This window comes from Homo sapiens, chromosome 7, assembly GCF_000001405.40.
Source record: "Homo sapiens chromosome 7, GRCh38.p14 Primary Assembly".
Classification (NCBI taxonomy): Eukaryota; Metazoa; Chordata; class Mammalia; order Primates; family Hominidae; genus Homo; species Homo sapiens.
The window spans coordinates 57,450,177-57,473,559 of NC_000007.14; the positions used below are offsets into that span (position 1 = coordinate 57,450,177).

The window sequence follows — 23,383 nt, forward strand, 5'->3', positions numbered from 1 at the left end:
CTTTTTGCTTCTCTGCGCCCAGAGCTCCAGTCCTTCTCTTCACTGCTCTGCGTCCTCTGCTCCTGGAGGCCAAGCCTCTGTGGCCTTGTGTCCTGCAAGTATTCGCAGATTTATGGCTAAAAGACCGGGACCCCCTGGAAGCCGAGAAATGGTGAGTGCTGGGTCTGTCACCGTGAGAGAGGGGTGGGGGCTGGTTGGAACTGACTGAAAGTGGCTGTAGCAGGACCCAAACTTCCTCGCAGTCAGCTCCGGAGTCTGAGGACCCAAATCCTCCTTGTCCCAGCTCGGCTCTTAGTCCCCTCGAGCGTTAAGATGCTGCCTGGGCCAGCGGCTGGGACCCTGGGAGTTCTGTCTTTTTCCTCTGCAGTGGCTTTGCCCTGGACTGGAGCCCTCTCTGGGCAGCTCTACACTCCCAGCGCCTCATCTCACCCAGACTGTGCAGGGATGGGAAAGTCATCAGGGAAGAATCCAGACTTAGGGTGCAGGATTCGTGAGTGGAAAGAGCTGTGTTCCCTGGGGTCCCTAGTTCCTCATTTTTTCTTTTAGAGATGTATGGGGAGTCGCTGTAAAAATATCAGAGAATTGAATCAAAGTGTGATTCAAGAATCTTAGAGCGCCCAGCTATGGTTTGTGGGTTGTGATCCATGGGAGAGACTTGAAGGAAAGTTTGTTATAAGTTTCATGATGAAGCAAACCCGATTAAATAATTGGTTTGGTACAGTTAGGTAGTTTCCTTGTTTGTAAGATCCAGGTGAAAATGGCTTGGTTATGTCATCAGAGATTAATTGGCAGTCTGTGGTTGACTAGGCCTGAATATTTTTCTTCAAGAAAGTAATTTCCAAGAAATGCATTTTTTTTTTTTTGAGAGGGAGTCTCGCTCTGTTGCCCAGGCTGGAGTGCAATGGCACGATCTCAGCTCAATGCAACCGCCCTCCCGGGTTCAGGCGATTCTCCCGCCTCAGGCTGCGGAGTAGCTGGGATTACAGACTGCCACCACCACGCCCGGCTTTTGTTTTTTAGTAGAGACGTGGTTTCACCATGTTGGCCAGGGTGCTCTTGAAATCCTGACCTGAAGTGATCCGCCTGCCTTGGCCTCCGAAAGTGCTGGGATTACAGTCGTGATCCCCCCGTGCCCAGCTGTAAGAGATACATTTGAGATAGATTTTTTTTTTTAAGTGAGAGCCGAGAAGAATCAATCCACCTCAGTCTAATTGGCTGCTGTTTAAATATTTTTACACCCCACAGGAAATTGGTTTTCCCTTGGATTTTTTTTTTTTTTTTTTTTTTTTGAGATAGAGCCTCGCAATGTTGCCCAAGCTGGAGTTCAGTGGTGTGATCTCAGCTCACTGCAACTTCCGCCTCCTGGGTTCAAGTGATTCGCCTGCCTCAGCCTCCTGAGTAGCTGGGATTACATGCACCCGCCACCATGCCTGGCTAATTTTTGTATTTTTAGTAGAGATAGAGTGTTGCCATGCTGGCCAGGCTGGTCTCAAACTCCTGGCCTCAAGTGATCTGCCCACCTTTGTCTCTCAAAGTGCTGGGATTACAGGAATAGGCTATCACACCCAGCCTGCGTTTTTCAACTCTTTCTTTCTTTTTTTTTTTTTTGAGATGGAGTCTCACTCTGTGGCCCAGGCTGGAATGCAGTGGCGTGATCTTGCCTCACTACAACCTCCACCTCCTGGGTTCAAGTGATTCTCCTGCCTCAGCCTCCCAGGTAGCTGGGATTACAGGCCTACACCACCATACATGGCTAATTTTTGTATTTTTAATAGAGATGGGGTTTCACCATTTTGGCCAGGCTGGTCTCAAATTCCTGACCTCAGGTGATCTGGCCATCTTGGCCTCCCAAAGTGCTGGGATTACAGGAATGAGCCACCATGCCCTTCCTCAGCTGTGTCTTAAGCAGGGTCTTAAGTCAACCATTCTGTTCTCACAGACTAACTCTGGCTTGCAATAAAATATTAAATTTTCAGTTTTTGTGACATTCCCAAATGTCAACTTTTCTTTCTAACTCATATTATTATCTATTTGTCCTTTCTTGTATGTTTCAGACACAGTACTTACATTAATTATTTTTTTTAAAAGCATTGGATGGCACTTTAAAAGTGTCATTCAATGTCAAATGGGAAAAAAAGTTCCCATTTGTAAATATTTCACATAAGAAGAAAGCAGGGGCCGGACGCGGTGGCTCATGCCTGTAATCCTAGCACTTTGGGAGACTGAGGCGAGCAAATCACTTGAGGTCAGGAGTTGGAAACCAACCTGGCCAACATGATGAAACCCCATCTCTACTAAAAATGCAAAAAAAAATAACCGGGCGTGGTGGTGAGTGCCTGTAATCCCAGCTACTCAGGAGGCTGAGGCAGGAGAATTGCTTGCACCCAGGAGACGGAGGTTGCAGTGAGCCAAGATGGTGCCACTGCACTCCAACCTGGACAACAGATTGAGACTCTGTCTCAGAAAGAAAAAAAAAGAAAGCAGAGATTAAGCCTCTGACACTGTATTGTAAAAAATCTCTGTGCCTCTTCTTTTGTCTTCTCCAAGCACAGACATCATAATGTGTGGGTTGAGTTTTTTTGGGGGAAACCCTACAGGGTAATGTTTCTTCAGCCACACTTAAGGTTTTTCCTGGTTCTGGGTCTTAGTACTGCTTGGGGATAAACCAAGATACCTACTGTGGCCGTGTCTGCTGGAGTGTCTAGTGAATATCATCCCCTGAGTTATTTTCTTTTTGAGAATAGCATGCGGTATGAAGTGTAGCCTTCCAAGAGAGCAAATGGATGCCTGGGGCTGAGAGTGATCTCCTGGTATACTCTTCCTGTAAAATGCTAATCCCTTGGGACACTAGAATCATCTTTACCTAACTCAGCTTTGGTTTCATGGAGACATATTGCTGGTCAGCCAATCAGATGCGGGTATTGAGAGAAAAACACAGAAGTAATTTCTGCCCTCTGGATTCTGTCAGATTTGTGAAGGGAAGAAAACTACCCCTAAAGGCAAAAAAACCTGACCCCAATAAGATGGTGCAAGAATCTCAAAGTAATTGCACCTGGGGAACTCATGAGGGCACAGTGCAGTGTCTCCTGGAGTGGTTGTCCTTGAGCATTTCAGTGAGCAGGATGCGCATGGGAGACTCTCTCAAGTGATTGGACGGTTTGATTTGACACATGAGTCAGACATGTCTGTTCCAATCAGCACTGCCACTCTCTGGGTTTGTCACCTTGAAAAGATAGTTTCACTTCTTTCGACTTAAGTTAGTTAACTGTAAATTGCATTTTATCAGTAGAGCTCAATATGTAAGAAAATATTTACAAAGGGCATAAAAGAGGGAAGTTTCAGAAAAAAAATGTAGTCATGTATTCTATTGGTTAAAAATTCACATTTGCCCTTTTCTTTCTCAGAGTAACTGTAGAAATTTTCTCAGGTGTGTTATTTTTTGGCTGTGTGATTTCACACAGTATTCTAAGGCTTAGCTTTGCGAATATTACCAAGGGAGAGAATATGAAAAATGTCTCTTCCATTATGGCTGTCGGAAATGAATACATTTGCACAATAAAATGTGTGAGATAACTGGGGAATTACATAGATTCATCAAAACATCAGTCTCTCTTTTTGCAAAATTAATATGTGACAGTAAAACCTGTGTTCTACATCCGTTGTCTTATTTTTATTTTGGAGACCGAGTCTTTGTCACCCAGGCTGGAGTACAGTGGTGTGATCTTGGCTCACTGCAACCTCCGACTCCCGGGTTCAAGTGATTCTCCTGACTCAGCCTCCCAGGTAGCTGGGATTACAGACACCCGCCACCACACCCGGCTAATTTTTGTATTTTTAGTAAAGATGGGGTTTTGCCATGTTGGCCAGGCTGGTCTCGAACTCCTGACCTCAGGTGGTCTGCCCACCTGTGCCTCTCAAATTGTTGGGATTACAGGCATGAGCCACTGCTCCTGGCCCTGTTATCTTGATTTCTGAATTTTATGCTAAACTTTATGAGATGGGACTGGGCACCTTCTAGAAGTTTGTTCATATTACTAATGTTTACTGAATGTCCTCTTATGGAAATAAGTAAATGATATGTGTATTGTCTGAAAGAGATAGATACTTTTGCTTTTCTTATTGAGCTATAAAATGTAAGCACCTTAAAAATTTTTCCCTTGTATAAACACTGCATTTCAGTAATTTTTCTGGATTTATCACCACTTAATTTCTAAAACTAAGTGAACATCTCTGACTTGAAAATTAAAGCCTGAGCCCTGTGACTCCAAGCTATGAGCAATATGGAGCCTGCAAAAGGAGATTATTGAAGGCCTAGTCAGTTCTTTCTAGGGAGCCTTCCCTGCAGATGTCCCAGCCTGCTCACTCCAGCCATGGAAGAAGCCTTTATACTGAGATAAGCAACAGAGGCAGGGAAACCTGGGGACCCACAGGCAGATGTAGTTAGGGTTAGAATGGATGGGAATTGGGAGGATCTTACTGAAAATAAAGGTGTTTTGGGGCAGTTTCTGGACTTTGTAAAATAAAGCAAATTCAGATATTCAGATTTAGATAAGAATTCTGAATCCCGGCCGGGAGTGGTGGCTCATGCCTGTAATCCTAGCACTTTGGGAGGCCGAGGCGGGCGGATCATGAGGCCAGGAGATCGAGACCATCCTAGCTAACACGGTGAAACCCCATCTCTACTAAAAAATACAGAAACATTAGCCAGGCGTGGTGGCAGGCACCTATAGTCCCAGCTACTTGGGAGGCTGAGGCAGGAGAATGGCATGAACCCAGGAGGCGGAGCTTGCAGTGAGCAGAGATAGCGCCATTGCACTACAGCCTGGGTGACAGAGCAAGACTCCCTCTCAAAAAAAAAAAAAGTTCTGAATCCCAACAACAGAAAAAAGTGTCAACTGTAAGATTTTTCAGGGTATCAATGTATAGGCAGACAAGGACTTTCTTTTATAGAGAATAGCAAACAAGTTTAGAAAGAGGATGAAGTAAGAATGGTATGATAGAAGGGGGCAAAATTAGATTCTAGATCAGAGAATGTTTTACCCTGAAGTCAGCATGTTCTTAAGGAGAGACAGAAAATGGGGTTGTATGTTGGCTCAGACTGAAGGTACTCAAAGGTCAGGAGCCCTGGGAGAAGAGAAAAATTTAAGCAAAGTTGATTAAAAAATATTTTGGCCACTGAAGAAAAGTATTTAGCTGATTCTTTTATAAGAAAGAAGTGGAAATTTCCAGAATCTATATCTGGCTATGTGATAAGTAAGAAAATACAAAACCATCTAAGTCATAATAGGAAAAAATGTTTCTCTTAAGCTGTTGGTGAAGACCACAAAGGATGGAGAATTTTATTTATTTATTTATTTAGAGATAGAGTCTCACTCTGTCACCCTGGCTGGAGTGCAGTGGCACAATCTCAGCTCATTGCAATCTCCACCTCCTGGATTCAAGCAATTCTCTTGCCTCAGCCTCCCAAATAGCTGGGATTACAGGTGCCCACCACTGCAGCTGGCTTATTTTTTGCATTTTTAGTAAAGACAGGATTTCACCATGTTGGCCAGGTTGGTCTCAAACTCCTGACTTCAGGTGATCCACCTGCCTCAGCTTCCCAAACTGCTGGGATTACAGACATGAGCCGTCGCGCCTGGCTGGGGAATTTTATTAATCACAGCTATTTACCAGGATTATCTATATGCCCCATCTTTCCCAAACTTTTTTTTTGTACATCTTTTCTTTTCTATTTGACTGTTTCTGGGTTGCATGGTTTTTTTTGTTTTTTTGTTTGTTTGTTTGTTTTTTGTTTTTTGAGATGGAGTCTCACTCTGTCACCCAGGCTGGAATGCAGTGGCACAATATCGGCTCACCACAACCTTCGCCTCCCAGGTTCAAGAGATTCTCCTGCCTCAGCCTCCCGAGTAGCTAGGATTACAGGCACCCACCACCATGCCCGGCTAATTTTTGTATTTTTAGTAGAGATGGGGTTTCACCATCTTGACCAGGCTGGTCTTGAACTCCTGACCTCATGATCCACCCACCTCGGCTTCCCAACGTGCTGGGATTACAGGCGTGAGCCATCACGCCCGGCTTCTGGGTTGCATGTTTTATAGTAAACTGGTTAACGTAAGTACAGGGTTTAGCTCAATTCTGTGAGTATCTCTATCAAATTATTGAACTTAAGGGAGATTATGGGAGTCTCCAGTTTACAGACAGTAGCTGAGAAGCATAGATGGGTCCCTGGGATTTGTGACAGGCATGTGCAGTAAGGGCAATATGATGAGACTGAGCTCTGAATTATGGTCTGTGCTGACTCCGGGTGGTATCAGGATGGAAATGTTGGACAACAAGTTGGTGTTAAAAATTTGCATGGTGCCAGCCTGGCCAACATGGTGAAACCCCATCTCTACTAAAAATACAAAAATTAGCCGAGCATGGTGACGGGTGCCTGTAATCCCAACTACTCAGGAAGCTGTAGCAGGAGAATTACTTGAACCCGAGAGGTGAAGGTTGCAGTGAGCCGAGATCGTGCCACTGCACCCCAGCCTGGGCGACAGAGTGAGACTGCATTTCAAAAAAAAAAAACAAATTGCTTGGTATTTAGCAAACTCCACAGATTTGGTGTCAGAAAAGAGATATTACAGAGGCCTGGCCTGGAGGGGGACTCTGGATGTCTGGTAAGGGGAGTCTCTGTTCTCTTGCACACAGGCTGTCACACTGCACACTGTCCTGTGATTCTAGGTCTCCTCTCAGGGTGAAAGGGGACTAAAAACTTAGAGAAAAGGAATTGTGATAACAGACCTCCTCCTTTCAGAGCTGCCACCACATGATTCTCATGCATTCACAGACAGACCCACTAGACATTGATGCATCCACACCCCTCCCGGGACTAGGCACCACCTTCAAGAATTCCACCACAGCACTTATGCTTTTAGTGTTTCTTGCCAAAATCCCACCAAAGTGCCTACAAGTTTCCTGGCATATCCCCAACCCCAGACACTGAATCTGCAGCAGCAACCTGTTTCCTCCACCAATGTAGGGGTCTATACCACTTGATCATAGTCTAATCTGCCTGCATGGACACAGGACTAAATCAGAGTATAGCCCCACATGGACCACTGTCTGTAGCACGTCTGTGGCACAAACCAGTCTTACCACTTACCTTGCACCCTTTCCCACCCATGAATTTTCTTTTTATTTTGAGATGAAGTCTTGCTCTGTCACCCAGGCTGGAGTGCAGTGGTGTGATCTTGGCTCACTGCAACTTCTGCCTCCCAGGTTCAAGCGATTCTCCTGCCTCAGCCTCTTGAGTAGCTGGGATTACAGGTGTGTGCCACCACATCCAGCTAATTTTTGTATTTTTAATAGAGACAGGTTTCACAATGGTGGCCAGGCTGGTCTCGAACTCCTGGCCTCAGGTGATCTGCCCGCCTCGGCCTTCCAAAGTGCTGGGATTACAGTCATGAGCCACCACACCCAGCCACATTTTTTTTCTTTTACCTTTTATTTTAGGTTCAGGAGTACATGTGCAGGTTTGTTGTATAGGTAAAATCATATCATAAAGTTTTTGTGTACAGATTGTTTTATCACTCAGGTAGTAAGCATAGTACCCAACAGATTTGTTTTCTGGTTTTCTTCATCCTCCAACCCTTCACCCTGAACGAGGCCTCAGAGTCTGTTGTTCTCTTATCTTTGTCCACATGTTCTCATTATTTTGCTCCCACTTATAAGTGACAACATACAGTATTTGATTTTCTGCTCCTGCACCAGTTTTCTAAAAATAACAGTCTTCAGCTCCATCCATGTTGCTGCAAATGACATGATGTTGTTCTTTCTTATAACTGCATCGTATTTCATGGTCTTTATGTACCACATTTTCTTTATCCAGTCTACCATTGAAGACATACAGATTTATTTCTGGTTTTTGCTATTGTGAATAGTGCTGTAATAAAAATATGTGTGCATGTGTCTTCATGGTAGAATAACTTACATTCATTGGGTATATTCCCAATTGTGGGGTTGCCGGGTCAAATGGTAATTCTGTTATCAGGTTTTTGAAAAATTGTCAAACTGCTTTTCTCAATGTTTAAACAAATTTATACTCTCACCAGCAGCGTATAAGCATTCCCTTTCTTCACAACCTCACAAACCTCTGGTTTCTGACTGTGTTTATTTGAATTATTTCTTTTTTCTTTGTTAGTGTAGTGTTTTATCTTTCACCAGAATCAACTTCTGGTTTTGTTGAACTTTTTTTTTCTTTCTTTTCTTTTTTTTTTCTGACATGGAGTTTCACTCTTTTCGTCCAGACTGGAGTACAGTGGCACGATCTTGGCTCACTGCAACCTCTGCCTTCCAGATTAAAGCGATTCTTTTGCCTCAGCCTCCCGAATAGCGGGGATTACAGGAGCCCACCACCAGACCCGGTTAATTTTTGTGTTTTTAGTACAGACGGGGTTTCACCATGTTGGCCAGGCTGGCCTGGAACTCCTGACCTTGTGATCCGCCCACCTCGGCCTCCCAGAGTGCTGGGATTAAAGGCATGAGCCACTGTGCCCGGCCCATTGAGCTTTTTATAGTTATTTATAAATAGTTATTTAACTATAAATATTTATGTTTCAACCTTCTTCATTTCAGCTCTGATTTTGGTTATTTCTTGTCTTTTGTGATCTTTGAAGTTGATTTGCTCTTTTTGAATTCTTTTAATTCTAACATTAGATTTTTAAATTGAGATCTTTCTAACTTGTTGATGTGGATGTTTAGTGATATACTTTTTATTCTTAACACTGCCTTGGCTGTAACCCAGAGCTTCTGGTATGTTGTATTTCAGGTTTAATTAGTTTCAAAATTTTTTTATTTCTGGCTTAATTTCATTATTTACAAAATAGCCATTTGGAAGCTGATTATTCAATTTTTATGTAATTGTATCATTTCACATGTTTTTTGTATTGAATTATCCTATACATTTTCTTTTTAAAATTAATGATAAACATAAGAAGAAATGAAAATGCTGTGCTCTTAATCTAAATGCTAAAAATTATTCAACACTTAGTACCAGCTCCCAGGGTGCTATGAAAATTAAATCACAAAATGTGTTATTCCCAGCACAGTGTTCTGTGACATGCTCCTGAGCACACAGTACCTGCTTAGTACATGTGTACAGGTTTCCCAAGTGCAGATTCACTCAGACATTGCTGTCTTCTGTTGTCTCTGTAAACTTAAAAAAGCCAACAAAAAATATAATATTTTGGAATGGAGATTAGTTGTCTTTATTTGTAGCAGAAGTATTAGTATTGTGACAAATGTGGTATGTGTAAGGGACTCTTCTGTGCCTGCTTTCTCTTGCTAATGCTAATAATGTGTCTGCGAAAGCACAATCAGCATTTACAGGGGACTTGTTGAAAAAGCCCATTCCTGGACCCTTTTGGATCCCGCAGAATCACATTGCATAAAGCAGGGCCAAGATTACCAAGTGATTTATAAACTTGAGGGGTTCAAGATACATTCATGAGAGTTTAGTTCAACCTTTGCATCAAAGGAAGGCTGCACTGCCTGCCCTGTTTCAGTTTGGTAGGAAGAGGTCAGTGCGGTTCATGCTCCCATTACTGTAAAGAACATTGCTGGTGTCTGATAGGGGAGGGCAGGGGAAAAAGAAACATATTTTAATAGTTATGGAGAAGCTTGTTCTTCTCTCATTGCTCTTAAATCTTTTCAGTTATTAACAACAAAAATGGGTGAATGTTTTCTGCAAGTCTCGGTCTTTCTGCCCGTGGGTGTGTGTGGTGGTAGCAGGTGAATAGGTTGTGCTTTAAAGGCATATTCTCAAGATGCAGGTTTGATATGTTCCAGAGCATCTCATCTGATAATGCATTTCAGGGAAAGAGGAGGAAGAGAAAAAAAATCACTTTTTCTCAGGTGAGCATGTCTCAGATCAAGAGCAGCATTCAGGCCGGGTGCGGTGGCTCACGCCTGTAATCCGAGCACTTAGGGAGGCCAAGGCGGGCAGATCATGAGGTTTGGAGTTCGAGACGAGCCTGACCAGCCTGACCAACATGGTGAAAGTCCATCTCTATTAAAAATACAAAAATTAGCTGAGAGTGGTAGCATGCACCTGTAGTCTCAGCTACTCAGGGGGCTGAGGCAGTAGAATCGCTTGAACCCAAGAGGTGGAGGTTGCAGTGAGCTGAGATTGCACCACCGCACTCCAGCCTGGGTGATAGAGTGAGACTGTGTCTCAAAAAAAAAAAAAAAAAAAAGGCAGCGTCCACTCTGCCTTTTGGAATGCCATGTGTTCGGAACTTGCAAATTTTTACTTCTCTACTTGTGTTGTTATCCCTAATGAGTTTGTTTCAATTATTTTTTATTTTTATGATAGTCAAGGGGTTCTGAAAAAAATATTTTTTTTCTGTATACCATAGCCTTCTATACATTCTCTTCATCTCGGGTTCTTGTATCCATGCAGAATTCTCACCACAAATTTATGACCTGCAATATTTAAAATGTTCCTATTGTAGCTGTTGAACATGAGAAGGTGTGGATACTCAATATTTCTTTGGGGAAACACAGTTGTCTTTGGTATTAGTGAAAAGTGAAACATGTCATGTTGAGGTTTCATCTGTGTGCTCTATTAGTTCCATGCAGAACAGGTAACGCTCATTTAAACAGGATGGCATTTATTACCCAGAAAGTTCTAAAAACTGTTAGGAGATACTTGCTCTCCAGGGTGCTAAGGAAAGACTACTTAAAATTACTATTAAAAATTACAGGCAGGGAAGTTATCTGTATCTTCAACTTTGCAGAAAACTGATTTTTTTTTATAATTAAATTTAGGCCAGGTGCAGTGGCTCACGCTTGTAATCCCAGCACTTTAGGAGGTCTGGGCAGCTGTATCACATGAGGTCAGGAGTTCGAGACCAACCTGGCTAACATGGTGAAACCTTGTCTCTGCTAAAAAAAAAAAAATACAAAAATTAGCCTGGCATGGTAGCGTGTACGTGTGATCCCAGCTACTCAGGGGCTGAGGCAGGAGAATCGCTTGAACCCAGGAGGCAGAGTTTGCAGTAAGCCAAGATAGCACCATTGCACTCCAGCCTGGGTGACAAAGAGAGATTTTGTCTCATAAAATATATATAGTTACAATTTACTTTTCTGGGAGGAAAGAAATACCACAGCAGTGATGTTGCGTCCTGTGTGCATCAGCACATAATAAAAATGTGTCCCAGTACAGTTGATAACAATTTTATTCACTTGGCTCAAGATCTCTATGGCATTTTTTCTACTATAGAGTTAATTATTATTCCCTTAATTATTAAGTACACTTAGGACATTTACTAGCTGAAGTACATAAACCATCACATTTAATCTGGAAGCTGTCCTTTCTTTTTAGATGATTTTTGCATCTATATTTGTCTTTTAAAAATGAAGGCTTTTAGCTTTATTTACAGGTGAGAGAAACTGGGAAGAACCCAGACTCTGCCATTTACTAGATGTTTGACAAACTATTCTTACTAGGCTAGAAACATTGGTGAGCTTGCTAGAAATTCAGAAACTCAGACTCTATCCCAAATCTCCTGAAACAAAATCTGTATAAGATCTTTAGTTTATTGCACATATTAAGACTTAAGAGGAACCTTCCAACTCATCATGAATGTTCTACCTGAGAAATATAAATAACTTATTCTGTATGACGTAAATATAGCACTCAAAAATAGACATGTCCGACTGGGTGCAGTGGCTCATGCCTGCAATCCCAGTATTTTGGGAGGCCGAGGTGGGTGGATCACCTGAGATCAGGAGTTCAAGACCAGCCTGGCCAACATTGTGAAACCCTGTCTCTACTAAAAATACAAAAATTAGCCAGGCATGGTGGCTCATGCCTGTAGTCCCAGCTACTCAGGAGGCTGAGGCAGGAAAATCACTTGAACCCAGGAGGCGGAGGTTGCAGTGAGCCAATTATCACGCCACTGCACTCCAGCCTGGGCAACAGAGTGAGCCTCGGTTTAAAAAAAAAAAAAAAGACATGTCCATATTGATGCCCTTAATTTTATAATTCATCACCCAGAAAAGTATCATATCTACAGTGGTATTGTGGATCTTATGCTATCCTCTTTTCTCAGTTAGAGAATACTTCCATGTTAAACATTATCTTAATGAATAATTTTAGTCACTCTTACAAGTCAGAACCACTTCTTTTTACTCTCTTATTTAACATGAGTCAAATAAAAATCTCTGCCTATGGCAACATGGTAACTGTTTGTGTGTTCATGAGTGTTTTTTTTGTTTGTTTATTTTTTGTTTTTAGGGACTGTTGACATTCAGAGACATAGCTATAGAATTTTCTCTGGCGGAATGGCAATGCCTGGATCATGCTCAGCAGAATTTATATAGAGATGTGATGTTAGAGAACTACAGAAACCTGGTCTCCCTGGGTGAGGAAAACTTCAATACACAATTCCTAATATATTGCCTTTCTCTCTTTTCTAAGATGATTTTGGTAATTTCTGCTTTGCATGAATGAATTTTAGCTCTCCAGTTTTAAGAAAATCTTGGGGATTCATTGGTATATAGCAAATTCTTCAAGATGTTTTATCTTGACCTGAACTTTTCCCTTTCTTGCGCTTATGTATCTTTTGCTCTTGGTTAGTGGCAATTCCAAAACTGTCGTGGCATAAAATATCATTGCCCACAATTTAGAATTCAGTTCCTACCACCAATTTTTGATTCAGTAGCACTGAATAGTGAAATTAAGGACCTACAAATTTAAAGTATTTTCTAAATAGCTACAAAGATCTGTTACGAATCAATCTTAATTTTCTAGAATTTTCTATCATATCCTCTTTACTAAGCATAATACTTGTTTGGTAATTAAAGAATTCAGCCAGATTTATGTTACTTTTTTTTCCTTAATAAAACAGGTATTGCTGTCTCTAAGCCAGACTTGATCACCTGTCTGGAGCAAAATAAAGAGCCCCAGAATATAAAGAGAAATGAGATGGTAGCCAAACACCCAGGTAGGTGAGAGCGAATGAAGCAGATGACACAGATGAGAGTTACAAAAGTCAAGGAGGAAGCCAGTCCTTAAAATGTGGTCTGGGGAGCTGTACTTCGATGGAAGAGTTTCTGAGAAGCCAGAGTCATTTTTTTCTATTATGCTTACATAGGGACACCTTCTACTCCATGCTTTTAAATTCTCTAAGGATTCTACTTTCGGTTTAGTATTCTTCCTTCAAGTTCATAGTGCGAGCTAAAGTTTTCTTTATGGCTTATAAGGGACTGCAAAAACTGACTGCTTTGCCATTGCTTTTGGGGACACACAAATATCTGCACATTTTTGAGAAACTCTATGTGAAACCATTTTTAAAGTTCTTTTTTGCATCATGACTCAAATGTGTGAGAATAGTAGTTTCTGTTTCATTGGAGGTTGTCCATTTTTCTGCACATGCCATTCTGTTTTTATTACTATAGCCTTGACATATAAATTTTTTTTACAATTTTTTTATTTTTAAATTTTTATCCATGTATTTATTTATTTATTTAGAGGCTGGGTTATGAGACTTGCTGTGGGGGAATATGCAAGCAGGGTACCTCTTATGTCTTCATGTTACTGTGTTGCATATTTTAGACATAGATTCATAAATGGAATTGTTTATTGTATGATAATTTCATTTTTAATTATTTGAAAAACATTCATGATATTTTTTATGATGGCTGCGTCTTTTTTTCTCATCAACAGCTTACACAGGTTTCAATTGCTTTACATCATCAACATAGTTTGTGTTTTTAAAAAATTTATAGTGGCCATCCTAATTGATGCAAGGTAATTTTGTTTTTTTGTTTTGTATTGTGATTTTGTTTTGCATTTTTCTATAAATTATTAATTTTGTGCAACCTTTCAAATAGTTCTTCCCATTTGTATATCTTTTTAAATTAAAAGGTAGTTCAATCATTTGTCCATTTCTTTTTTCTTTTTTTTTTTTTTTTGAGATGGAGTTTCACTCTTGTTGCTCAGGCTGGAGTGCAATGGTGCAATTTTGGCTCATGGCAACCCCTGCCTCCCACATCCAAATGATTCGCCTGCCTCAGCCTCCTGAGTAACTGGGTTTACAGGGATGTGCCACCATGTGCAGCTAATTTTGTATTTTTTGTAGAGATGGAGTTTCGCCATGTTGTTCAGGCTGGTCTTGAATTCCTGACCTCTGGTGATCTGCCCAGCTCAGCATCCCAAAGTTCTGGGATTAAAAGCGTGAGCCACTGCACCCGGCTCACTTGTCCATTTCTAAATCATGTAATTCAATTATTATTCTCTAGTTCTAGGAGTTATGTATTCTCAATATTAAGTGTTGTTATCACATGTGATTTTCAAATATTGTCACCCATTTCTTGGGTGGCACTGTCACTCTATTAAATGTTGTATTTGATTGCAGAAAGTTTGAAATTTAGTTAAATTTTTCTGTTCTTCTCTTTGTTGCTCAAGCATTTGATGGCATATCTAAGAAAATGGTGCCAAGACCAATGTCCTGTCTTTCCACTATATTTTTTTTCTAAGAGTTTCGTTACTTTTTTTTCAGTCTAAGTATTTTGTTGAAAAAATTTTTTATATGATGTAATTAAAACATCCAACTTCATTGTTTCAATGTAGATATCCAGTTTTCAACATTGTCTGTTGAAGGGATTTTATTTTCTGCATTGTCTGCTCATGGCAACCCTGTGGCAGATTATTTGGTCATACACAGAAGAGTTCATTGCTGGCCTCCCTATTTTGTTCTATCATGTCTTTATCTGTCCTTATGTGAATACCACATAGTTATTGTTGTTGCAGCTTTTTATTATGATTTGAAATTATGAAGTATAATGCCTCTGTGTTTTTCATGTGTGTTTCTCTAGCTATAGTTCATAATAAAATTTAAAAATGTTAAATAGTATTTTAGTAATAAATATACTTTTAGAATTTTGATACAGATTATATTAAATTTGTTCACCACTGTGGGTTATCTTAACACCTTAGCAAATTAAGATATCAATTAAGTATTTTGACCCGTGAGCAAAAATGTTGAATTAAATTGACATATTTAACCCTGGGCAAGAATACATTGAAGAGTGTGTTTATTTCCATATATTTTTGATTTGCCAGTTATACTTTTTTTCTTTTTATTCAGTTTTGGTTAGAAAACATACACTGTATGATTTTGCTCTTCTTACATTTTTTTTTTTGACACAGTGTTTCTCACTCTGTTGCCCAGACTGTAGTGCAGTAGCACAATCTTGGCTCACCGCAGCCTCAACCTCTTGTACTCAAGTAATCATTCCACCTTGGCCTCCTGAGTAGCTGGCACTACAGACATACCCCACCATGCCCAGCTAATTTTTAACTATTTGTAAAGACGGTCTCACTGTGTTTCCAAGGCTGGTATCAAACTTCTTACCCCAAGTGATCCTTCCACCTCGGCCTCTCAAAGTGCTGGGATTACACCTGTGAGCCACTGCACCTGGCTGATCTTTTGAAATTTACTAAGACTTATGAGTTCTAACAGAATGCACCAGGAGCAAATAAGAATATTGCATGTCCACATGCACACGTATGTTTATTGCGGCACTATTCACAATAGCGAAGACTTGGAACTAACCCAAATGTCCAACAATGGTAGACTGGATTAAGAAAATGTGGCACATACACACCATGGTATGCTATGCAGCCATAATAAATGATGAGTTCATGTCCTTTGTAGGGACTTGGATGAAATTGGAAATCATCATTCTCAGTAAACTATCGCAAGAACAAAAAACCAAAAACACCACATATTCTCACTTGTAGGTGGGAATTGAACAATGAGAACACATGGACACAGGAAGGGGAACATCACACTCTGGGGACTGTTGTGGGGTGGGGGGAGTGGGGAGGGATAGCATTGGGAGATATACCTAATGCTAGATGACGAGTTACTGGGTGCAGCACACCAGCATGGCACATGTATACATATGTAACTAACCTGCACATTGTGCACATGTACCCTAAAACTTAAAGTATAATAATAATAAATAAATTTTAAAAAATGATTAAAAACAACATATTATGAAAATATATATATAAAAAAGAATATTGTGTGTCCAACCGCAATATTGACTGGGGAGTTCTGCATATGTCTGTTTAGCCTAGTTGGTTTATAATATGGTGTAGATGGTTGTTCCCTCCAAATCTCATGTTGAAATGTAATCTCCAGTGTTAGATGTGGGGCCTAATGAGAGGTGTTTGCATCATGGAGACAAATCCCTCATGAATGACTTGGCACAATCCCCTTGGTAATCATAGAGTTCTCACTCTATTAATTCACATGAGAGCTGGTTGCTTAAAGGAACCTGGCTCCTCCACCTCACACTCGCATCATCTTTCATTATGTGACATGGTTGGTTCTTTTTTGCCTTCCACTATAATTGTAAGCTTCCTCATATCCTCACCAGAAGCAGATGCTGGCATATACTTCTTGTATACTCTACTGAACAGTGAACCAAAGAAATCTTTTTCTTTAGAAATTACCCAGTCTCAGGCAATTTTTTATAGCAATGCAGAATGAATTAATACACTATATTATGTTCTTCTGATTTTCTGTTTTTTTAATTGATCTTTTATTTGAATTTTTTTGTTGAAAATGAGATCTTAATGTTTGTAATTTTATGCTGCTATTTTAATTCTTGCTTCATTTCTGTCAATATTTGCTGTATATAAATATATATTTTGAAGCCCTGATATTATATATGCATATACATATATGTAGACATAATAGTTACAGATTCCTAGTAAATGGGCTCATTTTACCATTATATAATATCAATATCAATAATATCGATATTTGTCTCATGCTAGTAATTGATTCATTTTCTTTTGTGTGTCTATAAAGATTTTTTCTTTGTGCTACATTGGAGATTTTAGAAAACCTCTTAATTTACAACAGTATATTTTAAACTGGTAAAAAAATGACTTCAGTTGCATAGAAAAATTTATTCTCATTATATCTATCCCATATGTCTTATTAATGTCACTAATTATATCTTTTTATGTTTTTTGATTATTTTTATGCTTATATCTTTCAAATTTTAAAGAACAACTAAAAATGTTTTCCGCATGATCACAATAATGCCACAGACTTTTATTTTTTGTAGATGCATATGTTTTTCAGAAAGTTATGTATTTTTTTCATCATGTAATTTTAAGTGGAAGGACCTCTTTTCAGCATTTTATTTAGGGCACATGCAGTGCTTATATGCTTTTCCAGCATTGGTTTATTCTGGAAGATCTTTATTTTTTGTTTATTTTGTAGTACGTGTTTGCTGGTTATATTATTCTCACCATGAAGATTTTTTTTCAGCACTTTGACCATTTTGCACGTTTTTTTCTGATCTGCAAGGTTTCTGTTGACAAATTCACTAGTTGTCTCAGGGGACTATGCTTATAAATAATACCTCACGTTTATCTTGCAGCTCCCAAGATTATCTTCTAGTTTGTGACTTTTGAAACTTTGCATGAATATGTGTTATGGACCTTTCTGTGTATATCCTAGTTTGTTTGTTTAGCTTCTTCATTAAATGTTTTCAGCTATTTTCTTTTACCTACACGTTTGTTTATTTTTATTATTCCAAGCTTTTGTTGATATTCTTATTTTTCTGATATTATTTAGGTATCTAGTTTTGCATTTCTCTCACTGAGCATAATATGGATTATCTTATATTTTTAAAATTAATATATAAATCTTTAGCTTAATAGTTTCTTTTTCAAAATTTTTTATTTTTTTGATTGGACCGTGTTGCCCTAATATTTTATAAACATAATAATCTTTGGTTGAGATTTAGACATTAATGGAAAACTACCTTTCACGATCTTTATAATGCAGCTCTTTCCTGGCATAGCCTGAAACCGATTGTCTTGGCTAGAGATTCTCGGAGTCTTTCAAACATGTTCTCAGGATGTGTCTTGTCTGCAATTTTGTATTTATTTTTCAGTTAAAAGACTTCTTCATGTTTCCTCTTAGCAGTCAGTAACTACTTTCTACACCTGTTTTCTGTCCATGGTACAGCAGTCTTTCTGCTGTTGTTAACATTCACTTTTGATTTCAAAAGACTTAAAGGTGTCATTTCAAAGTATACCAGCATTTCATTCAGCACTTTCTGTCATGGAAGAGAGAAAGGCTCCCATAAGCCAAAAGTAAAGATATAGGTGCCAATATTTTTCTTTTGAGATAAAAGCCAGTTTGCTCCTAAAGACACCATGTTCTTCTAGTGGGGATGAGGAAGGGCTGTGTTGGGTAAATGTAGCAGACTTTTCTTTTGTCTCTCTATGGCTCTTGGCATTGTGCCCACCTGGTGCCCACAGTTACCTTACTTATAAATTTCCCACAAAGGTATTTTGATCACTACTATTTTGTTACATTTATACATCTATGAAGGAATTACGGCTTGTGGTATTTTGATATGCCATTTTGCTAATGTACTTTGTATAATTTTATATATTTGATTTGCAAAATATATTTATCTGAGTGTAGTAAGTGGAGAAACTTGTGATTTTTATGTCTTTCAGTTACATGTTCTCATTTCACCCAAGACCTTCAGTCAGAGCAGGGCATAAAAGATTCACTCCAAAAAGTGATACTGAGAAGATATGGAAAATGTGGACAGGAGGATTTACAAGTAAAAAAATGCTGTAAAAGTGTAGGTGAGTGTGAGGTGCACAAAGGAGGTTATAATTATGTTAACCAATGTTTGTCAGCTACCCAAAACAAAACATTTCAGACTCATAAATGCGTCAAAGTCTTTGGTAAATTTTCAAATTCCAATAGACACAAGACAAGACATACTGGAAAGAAACATTTCAAATGTAAAAACGATGGCAAATCATTTTGCATGCTTTCACGCCTAAATCAACATCAGATAATTCATACTAGGGAGAAGTCTTACAAATGTGAAGAATGTGGCAAATCCTTTAACTGCTCTTCAACCCTTACTAGACATAAAAGAATTCATACTGGAGAGAAACCCTACAGATGTGAGGAATGTGGCAAAGCTTTTAGCTGGTCTGCATCCCTTACTAAACATAAGAGAATTCATACTGGAGAGAAACCTTACACATGTGAAGAACGTGGCAAAGTCTTTAGCCGCTCAACACTTACTAACTACAAGAGAATTCATACTGGAGAGAAACCCTACACATGTGAAGAATGTGGCAAAGCCTTTAGCCGCTCTTCAACACTTACTAACCACAAGAGAATTCATACTGGAGAGAGACCCTACAAATGTGAAGAATGTGGCAAAGCCTTTAGCTTATCCTCAACCCTTAAGAAACATAAGATAGTTCATACTGGGGAGAAACTCTACACATGTGAAGAATGTGGGAAAGCCTTTACCTTCTCCTCAACTCTAAATACTCATAAGAGGATTCATACTGGAGAGAAACCCTACACTTGTGAAGAATGTGGCAAAGCCTTTAGCTTACCCTCAACCTTCACTTACCACAAGAGAACTCATACTGGAGAGAAACCCTACAAATGTGAAGAATGTGGCAAAGCCTTTAACTGCTCCTCAACCCTTAAGAAACATAAGATAATTCATACTGGAGAGAAACTCTACAAATGTAAAGAATGTGGGAAAGCCTTTACCTTCTCCTCAACTCTAAATACTCATAAGAGGATTCATACTGGAGAGAAACCCTACAAATGTGAAGAATGTGACCAAACTTTTAAGTGGCATTCAAGTCTTGCTAATCATAAGAATATGCATACTGGAGAGAAACCCTACAAATATGAATAATGTGGTAAAGTCCAGCCCTCAGGCCTTATAATACATAAAATAATTTATACTGGAAAAAATCACTACAAGTGTGGAGAATGTGGCCAATTCTTTAACCAGTTCCAAACCACTGCTGTCCATAAGATAATTCATATTGGACAAAAGTCTTATAAATGTAAAAAAAAAAGTAACAGCCTTTAACCACCCCTCAAACCTTAATGAACCCAAGAGAATTTATTTAAAAAAATTTTTTTGAGACAGAGTCTCACTTTGTCACCCAGGCTGGAGTGCAGTGGCACGATGTCAGCTCACTGCAACCTCTGCCTCCTGGGTTCAAGCGATTCTCCTGCCTCAGCCTCCTGAGTAGCTGGAATTACAGGCACGTGCAACCACACTGGCTGAGTTTTGTATTTTTAGTAGAGATGGGGTTTCACCATTTTGACCAGGCTGGTCTCAAACTCCTGACTTCAGGTGAACCACCTGCCTCAGCCTCCCAAAGCCTAAGAGAATTTATATTAGAGAGACTCTACAAAGGTCAAAAATGTGACAAAACATTTAAGCACATCTCAGGCCTTACACAATATCAGATAATTCATTCTAGAGACAAACCCTACAAAAACAATGTGGTAAAGCTTTTACCTAGTCTTGAACCCTTATTATACACTAAAAGAATTGATACTGAAGAAAAACCCTACAATAAGGAATATGGAAATGTCTTTTAAAAGTCCTCAAACTTTTTGTTTGAATAAATGTAAAATAATTGATACTGGAGAGAACCCCTGCAATTGTAAAAAAAAAAAAAAATGTGGCAAAGCTTTTAACTGGTTCTCCATCTTTATTAATTAAAATATTTTATACTGGAGAGAAACTCTACATACATAAAAAATGTGACAGCATTTAACCACACCTGACATTTTTCTAAAATAGAGAAATCATACTGGTGAAAAACTCTAGAAATGTGTTAAATGAGGTAAGTCCTTTAAATGGTAGTTGCATGTTATGGTAGGTAAGATAATTTATACTGAAGAAAACTCAGGCAAATATGAAAAATGTGGCAAAACTTTTAACAAATTTTCCCATCTTATTGCACAGGAAGCCTTTTATACTAGAGAAAAATTGTAAAAATATAAAGAATGTGAAAAGCCATTAATGTCTGTTCACATCTTACTCAATATCAGAAAGTTTATACTTAACAAAAGCATTATAGGCTAGATGTGGTGGCTCATGCCTGTAATCCCAGCACTTTGGGAGCTCATGGCAGGTGGATCATGAGGTCAGGAGTTCAAGACCAGCCTGGCTAACATGGTGAATCCCCATCTCTACTAAAAACACAAAAATTAGACAGGCATGGTGGTGTGCACCTGTAATCCCAGCTACTCAGGAGGCTGAAGCAGGAGAATTGCTTGAACCCAGGTGGTGGAGGTTGCAGTGAGTCAAGATCACCCCACCATACTCCAGCCTGGGTGACAGAGCAAGAATCCATCTTAAAAAAAAAAAAAAAGCGTAAATGTGATTACTGTAAAAAGACCTTTCAGAAAACATAGGCCTTTAAAGCAAAGACTATTTATTCTAAAGACAAACATTAAAACATAAAGAGGATTGTGTAGTACCTTTATTTGTATTACGGATTTTATTGTACACATTTTATATCAAAGGAAAACCCTGAAACAGATGCTCAAACTTTGTTGAACATCGGAGAATTTATATTGGAGAGAAAGTGTAAATGAATGTCAAAAAATATTTGTTCAAAAACTACAGTTTAGAAAACACTAGTTTATACTAAAAAAATATTTTTGCAGATGCAGTAAATGGGGAAAATATGTTTAATCAAAAATTAAGTCTACATAAACATTTGAGGATTCACAGTAGAAAGAATGAAGGTGCTGAAACTTCAGACATTACACTAAATCAGAGTGTTGAGTGTAAAAAAGATATAAATCTAACAATATAAATTTAAAGAAGTAGATTTATTTGGAGATTTATAATTACATTCGAGGTATGCTTCTTTCTTTGTAAAAAAAAATATAGATTTTCTGAAAAGCAAATAGTAATGTAACTCACATTTCAAATTACTTCATGTTGATCCTTTCTTCCCATTGTTTCTGTGAAAGTATTGGACCAATTGTTGAATCAGAGATATGAGATTGTTTTTTATAGGTGTCCATTATTCATGAACTTTCCTATGGATGAGTAAGGACATTAAGTTGTAAGATGCATAATGAAAATCTAAATGGAGAGGTTCTTTGTGGTTGACTTATAACATTGTTTTAGTGATGTATAAGGCGAGCGTTCAGAGTAATATTCTAAATTCTAGTGAGGAAAACCTTTGAACGTCAGTAGTAAATTATTTTATCAATTGTACCTTTATGTAAACAAAGTTGTTTTTAATGAGCTAAAACTATTGTGCTTTGAAAGAAGTATTAAGCTGCCATTGACTCTATCGTGTCTCATCTTAAGGTTCTGCGTAAAAGATGGTGACAATATACTATTTGTTAATGTAGGGGAATGACATCACTAGTAGTCTCTTTTTTGCCAGTGTTTTTGTTTGTTTGTTTTGAGACTAAGTCTTACTCTGTCACCCAGACTGGGGTGCAGTGGTGCGATCTCAGCTCACTGCAACCTCCACCTCCTGGGTCCAAGTGATTCTCCTGCTTCAGCCTCACAAGTAGCTGGAACTAGAGGCAGGCACCACCACTCCTGGCTAATTTTTGTATTTTTAGTAGAGATGAGGTTTCCCCATGTTGGCCAGGCTGGTCTCAAACTCCTGACCTCAGGTGATACACCCACCTCGGTGTACCGAAGTGCTGGGATTACAGGCATGAGCCACCATGCCTGGCCTACTAGAGGTTTTACACAGCAAACAAGTTGAAGAATTTTGTTCCCATAGGACAAATTTGTACTTTTTTACCTTATTTAATTTTTTTTTAATTTTTGTGGGTAGTGTGCATACACACTTATGGCATATATGAGATATGTTAACACATGCACATAATATTTAATGATCACAACAGAGTAAATGAGGCATTCATCACCTTGAGCATGTATTTATCCTTTGTATTACAAACAATCCCATTATACAGTTTTAGTTATTTCAATATGTGCAATTGAATTACTATTAACCACAGGGTCATTTTATGATCATAAAAATTACATGAGTATAATTAATACCCATACATTTCTGAGTCTTGATTAAATATTTTTAAAATTTTGTTTTATAAATTTTTTGCACATGTGGCATCTCTGCTGACAAACAAAAACAGACTTTTAGTTTCAATTTACATAGAGTTACATATACAAATATATTACTCTAAAGATATACCAGCCGAGCACAGTGGCTCCCAGCATTTTGGGAGCCTGAGGTGGGAGGATCATTTGAGGTTAGGAGTTCAAGACCAGCCTGGCCAACATGGTGAAACCCCATCTCTACTAAAAATACAAAAAATTAGCTGGGCATGGTGGTGCATGCCCATGGTCCCAGTTACTCAGGAGGCTGAGGCAGGAGAATTGCTTGAACCTCGGAGGTGGAGGTAGCAGTGAGCTGAGATGGTGCTACTGCACTCCAGCCTGGGTGAAAGAGCGAGAAACCATCTCAAAAAAAAAAATAAATAAATAAAAGATATACCTTAAGCAT

General features: G+C 38.9%; 1 protein-coding gene across 1 annotated transcript; it reads left to right on the forward strand.

Annotated features, from left to right (window-relative positions):
• On the forward strand, positions 1-23,383 carry ZNF716 (zinc finger protein 716). The gene is made up of 4 exons (NM_001159279.1): positions 1-151; positions 12,284-12,410; positions 12,897-12,992; positions 18,548-23,383. Exons 1-4 carry the CDS (start codon positions 113-115, stop codon positions 19,771-19,773), a joined length of 1,488 nt encoding a protein of 495 aa, NP_001152751.1. The 5' UTR covers positions 1-112; the 3' UTR covers positions 19,774-23,383.

Excerpts from the sequence above, each read along its gene's own strand:
- ZNF716 (NM_001159279.1), top strand. The coding sequence starts at position 113 with ATGGCTAAAAGACCGGGACCCCCTGGAAGCCGAGAAATG. Across the intron at positions 152-12,283 it reads CCCCTGGAAGCCGAGAAATG|GGACTGTTGACATTCAGAGA; the intron begins GTGAGTGCTGGG and ends TTTTGTTTTTAG. Across the intron at positions 12,411-12,896 it reads CAGAAACCTGGTCTCCCTGG|GTATTGCTGTCTCTAAGCCA; the intron begins GTGAGGAAAACT and ends TTAATAAAACAG.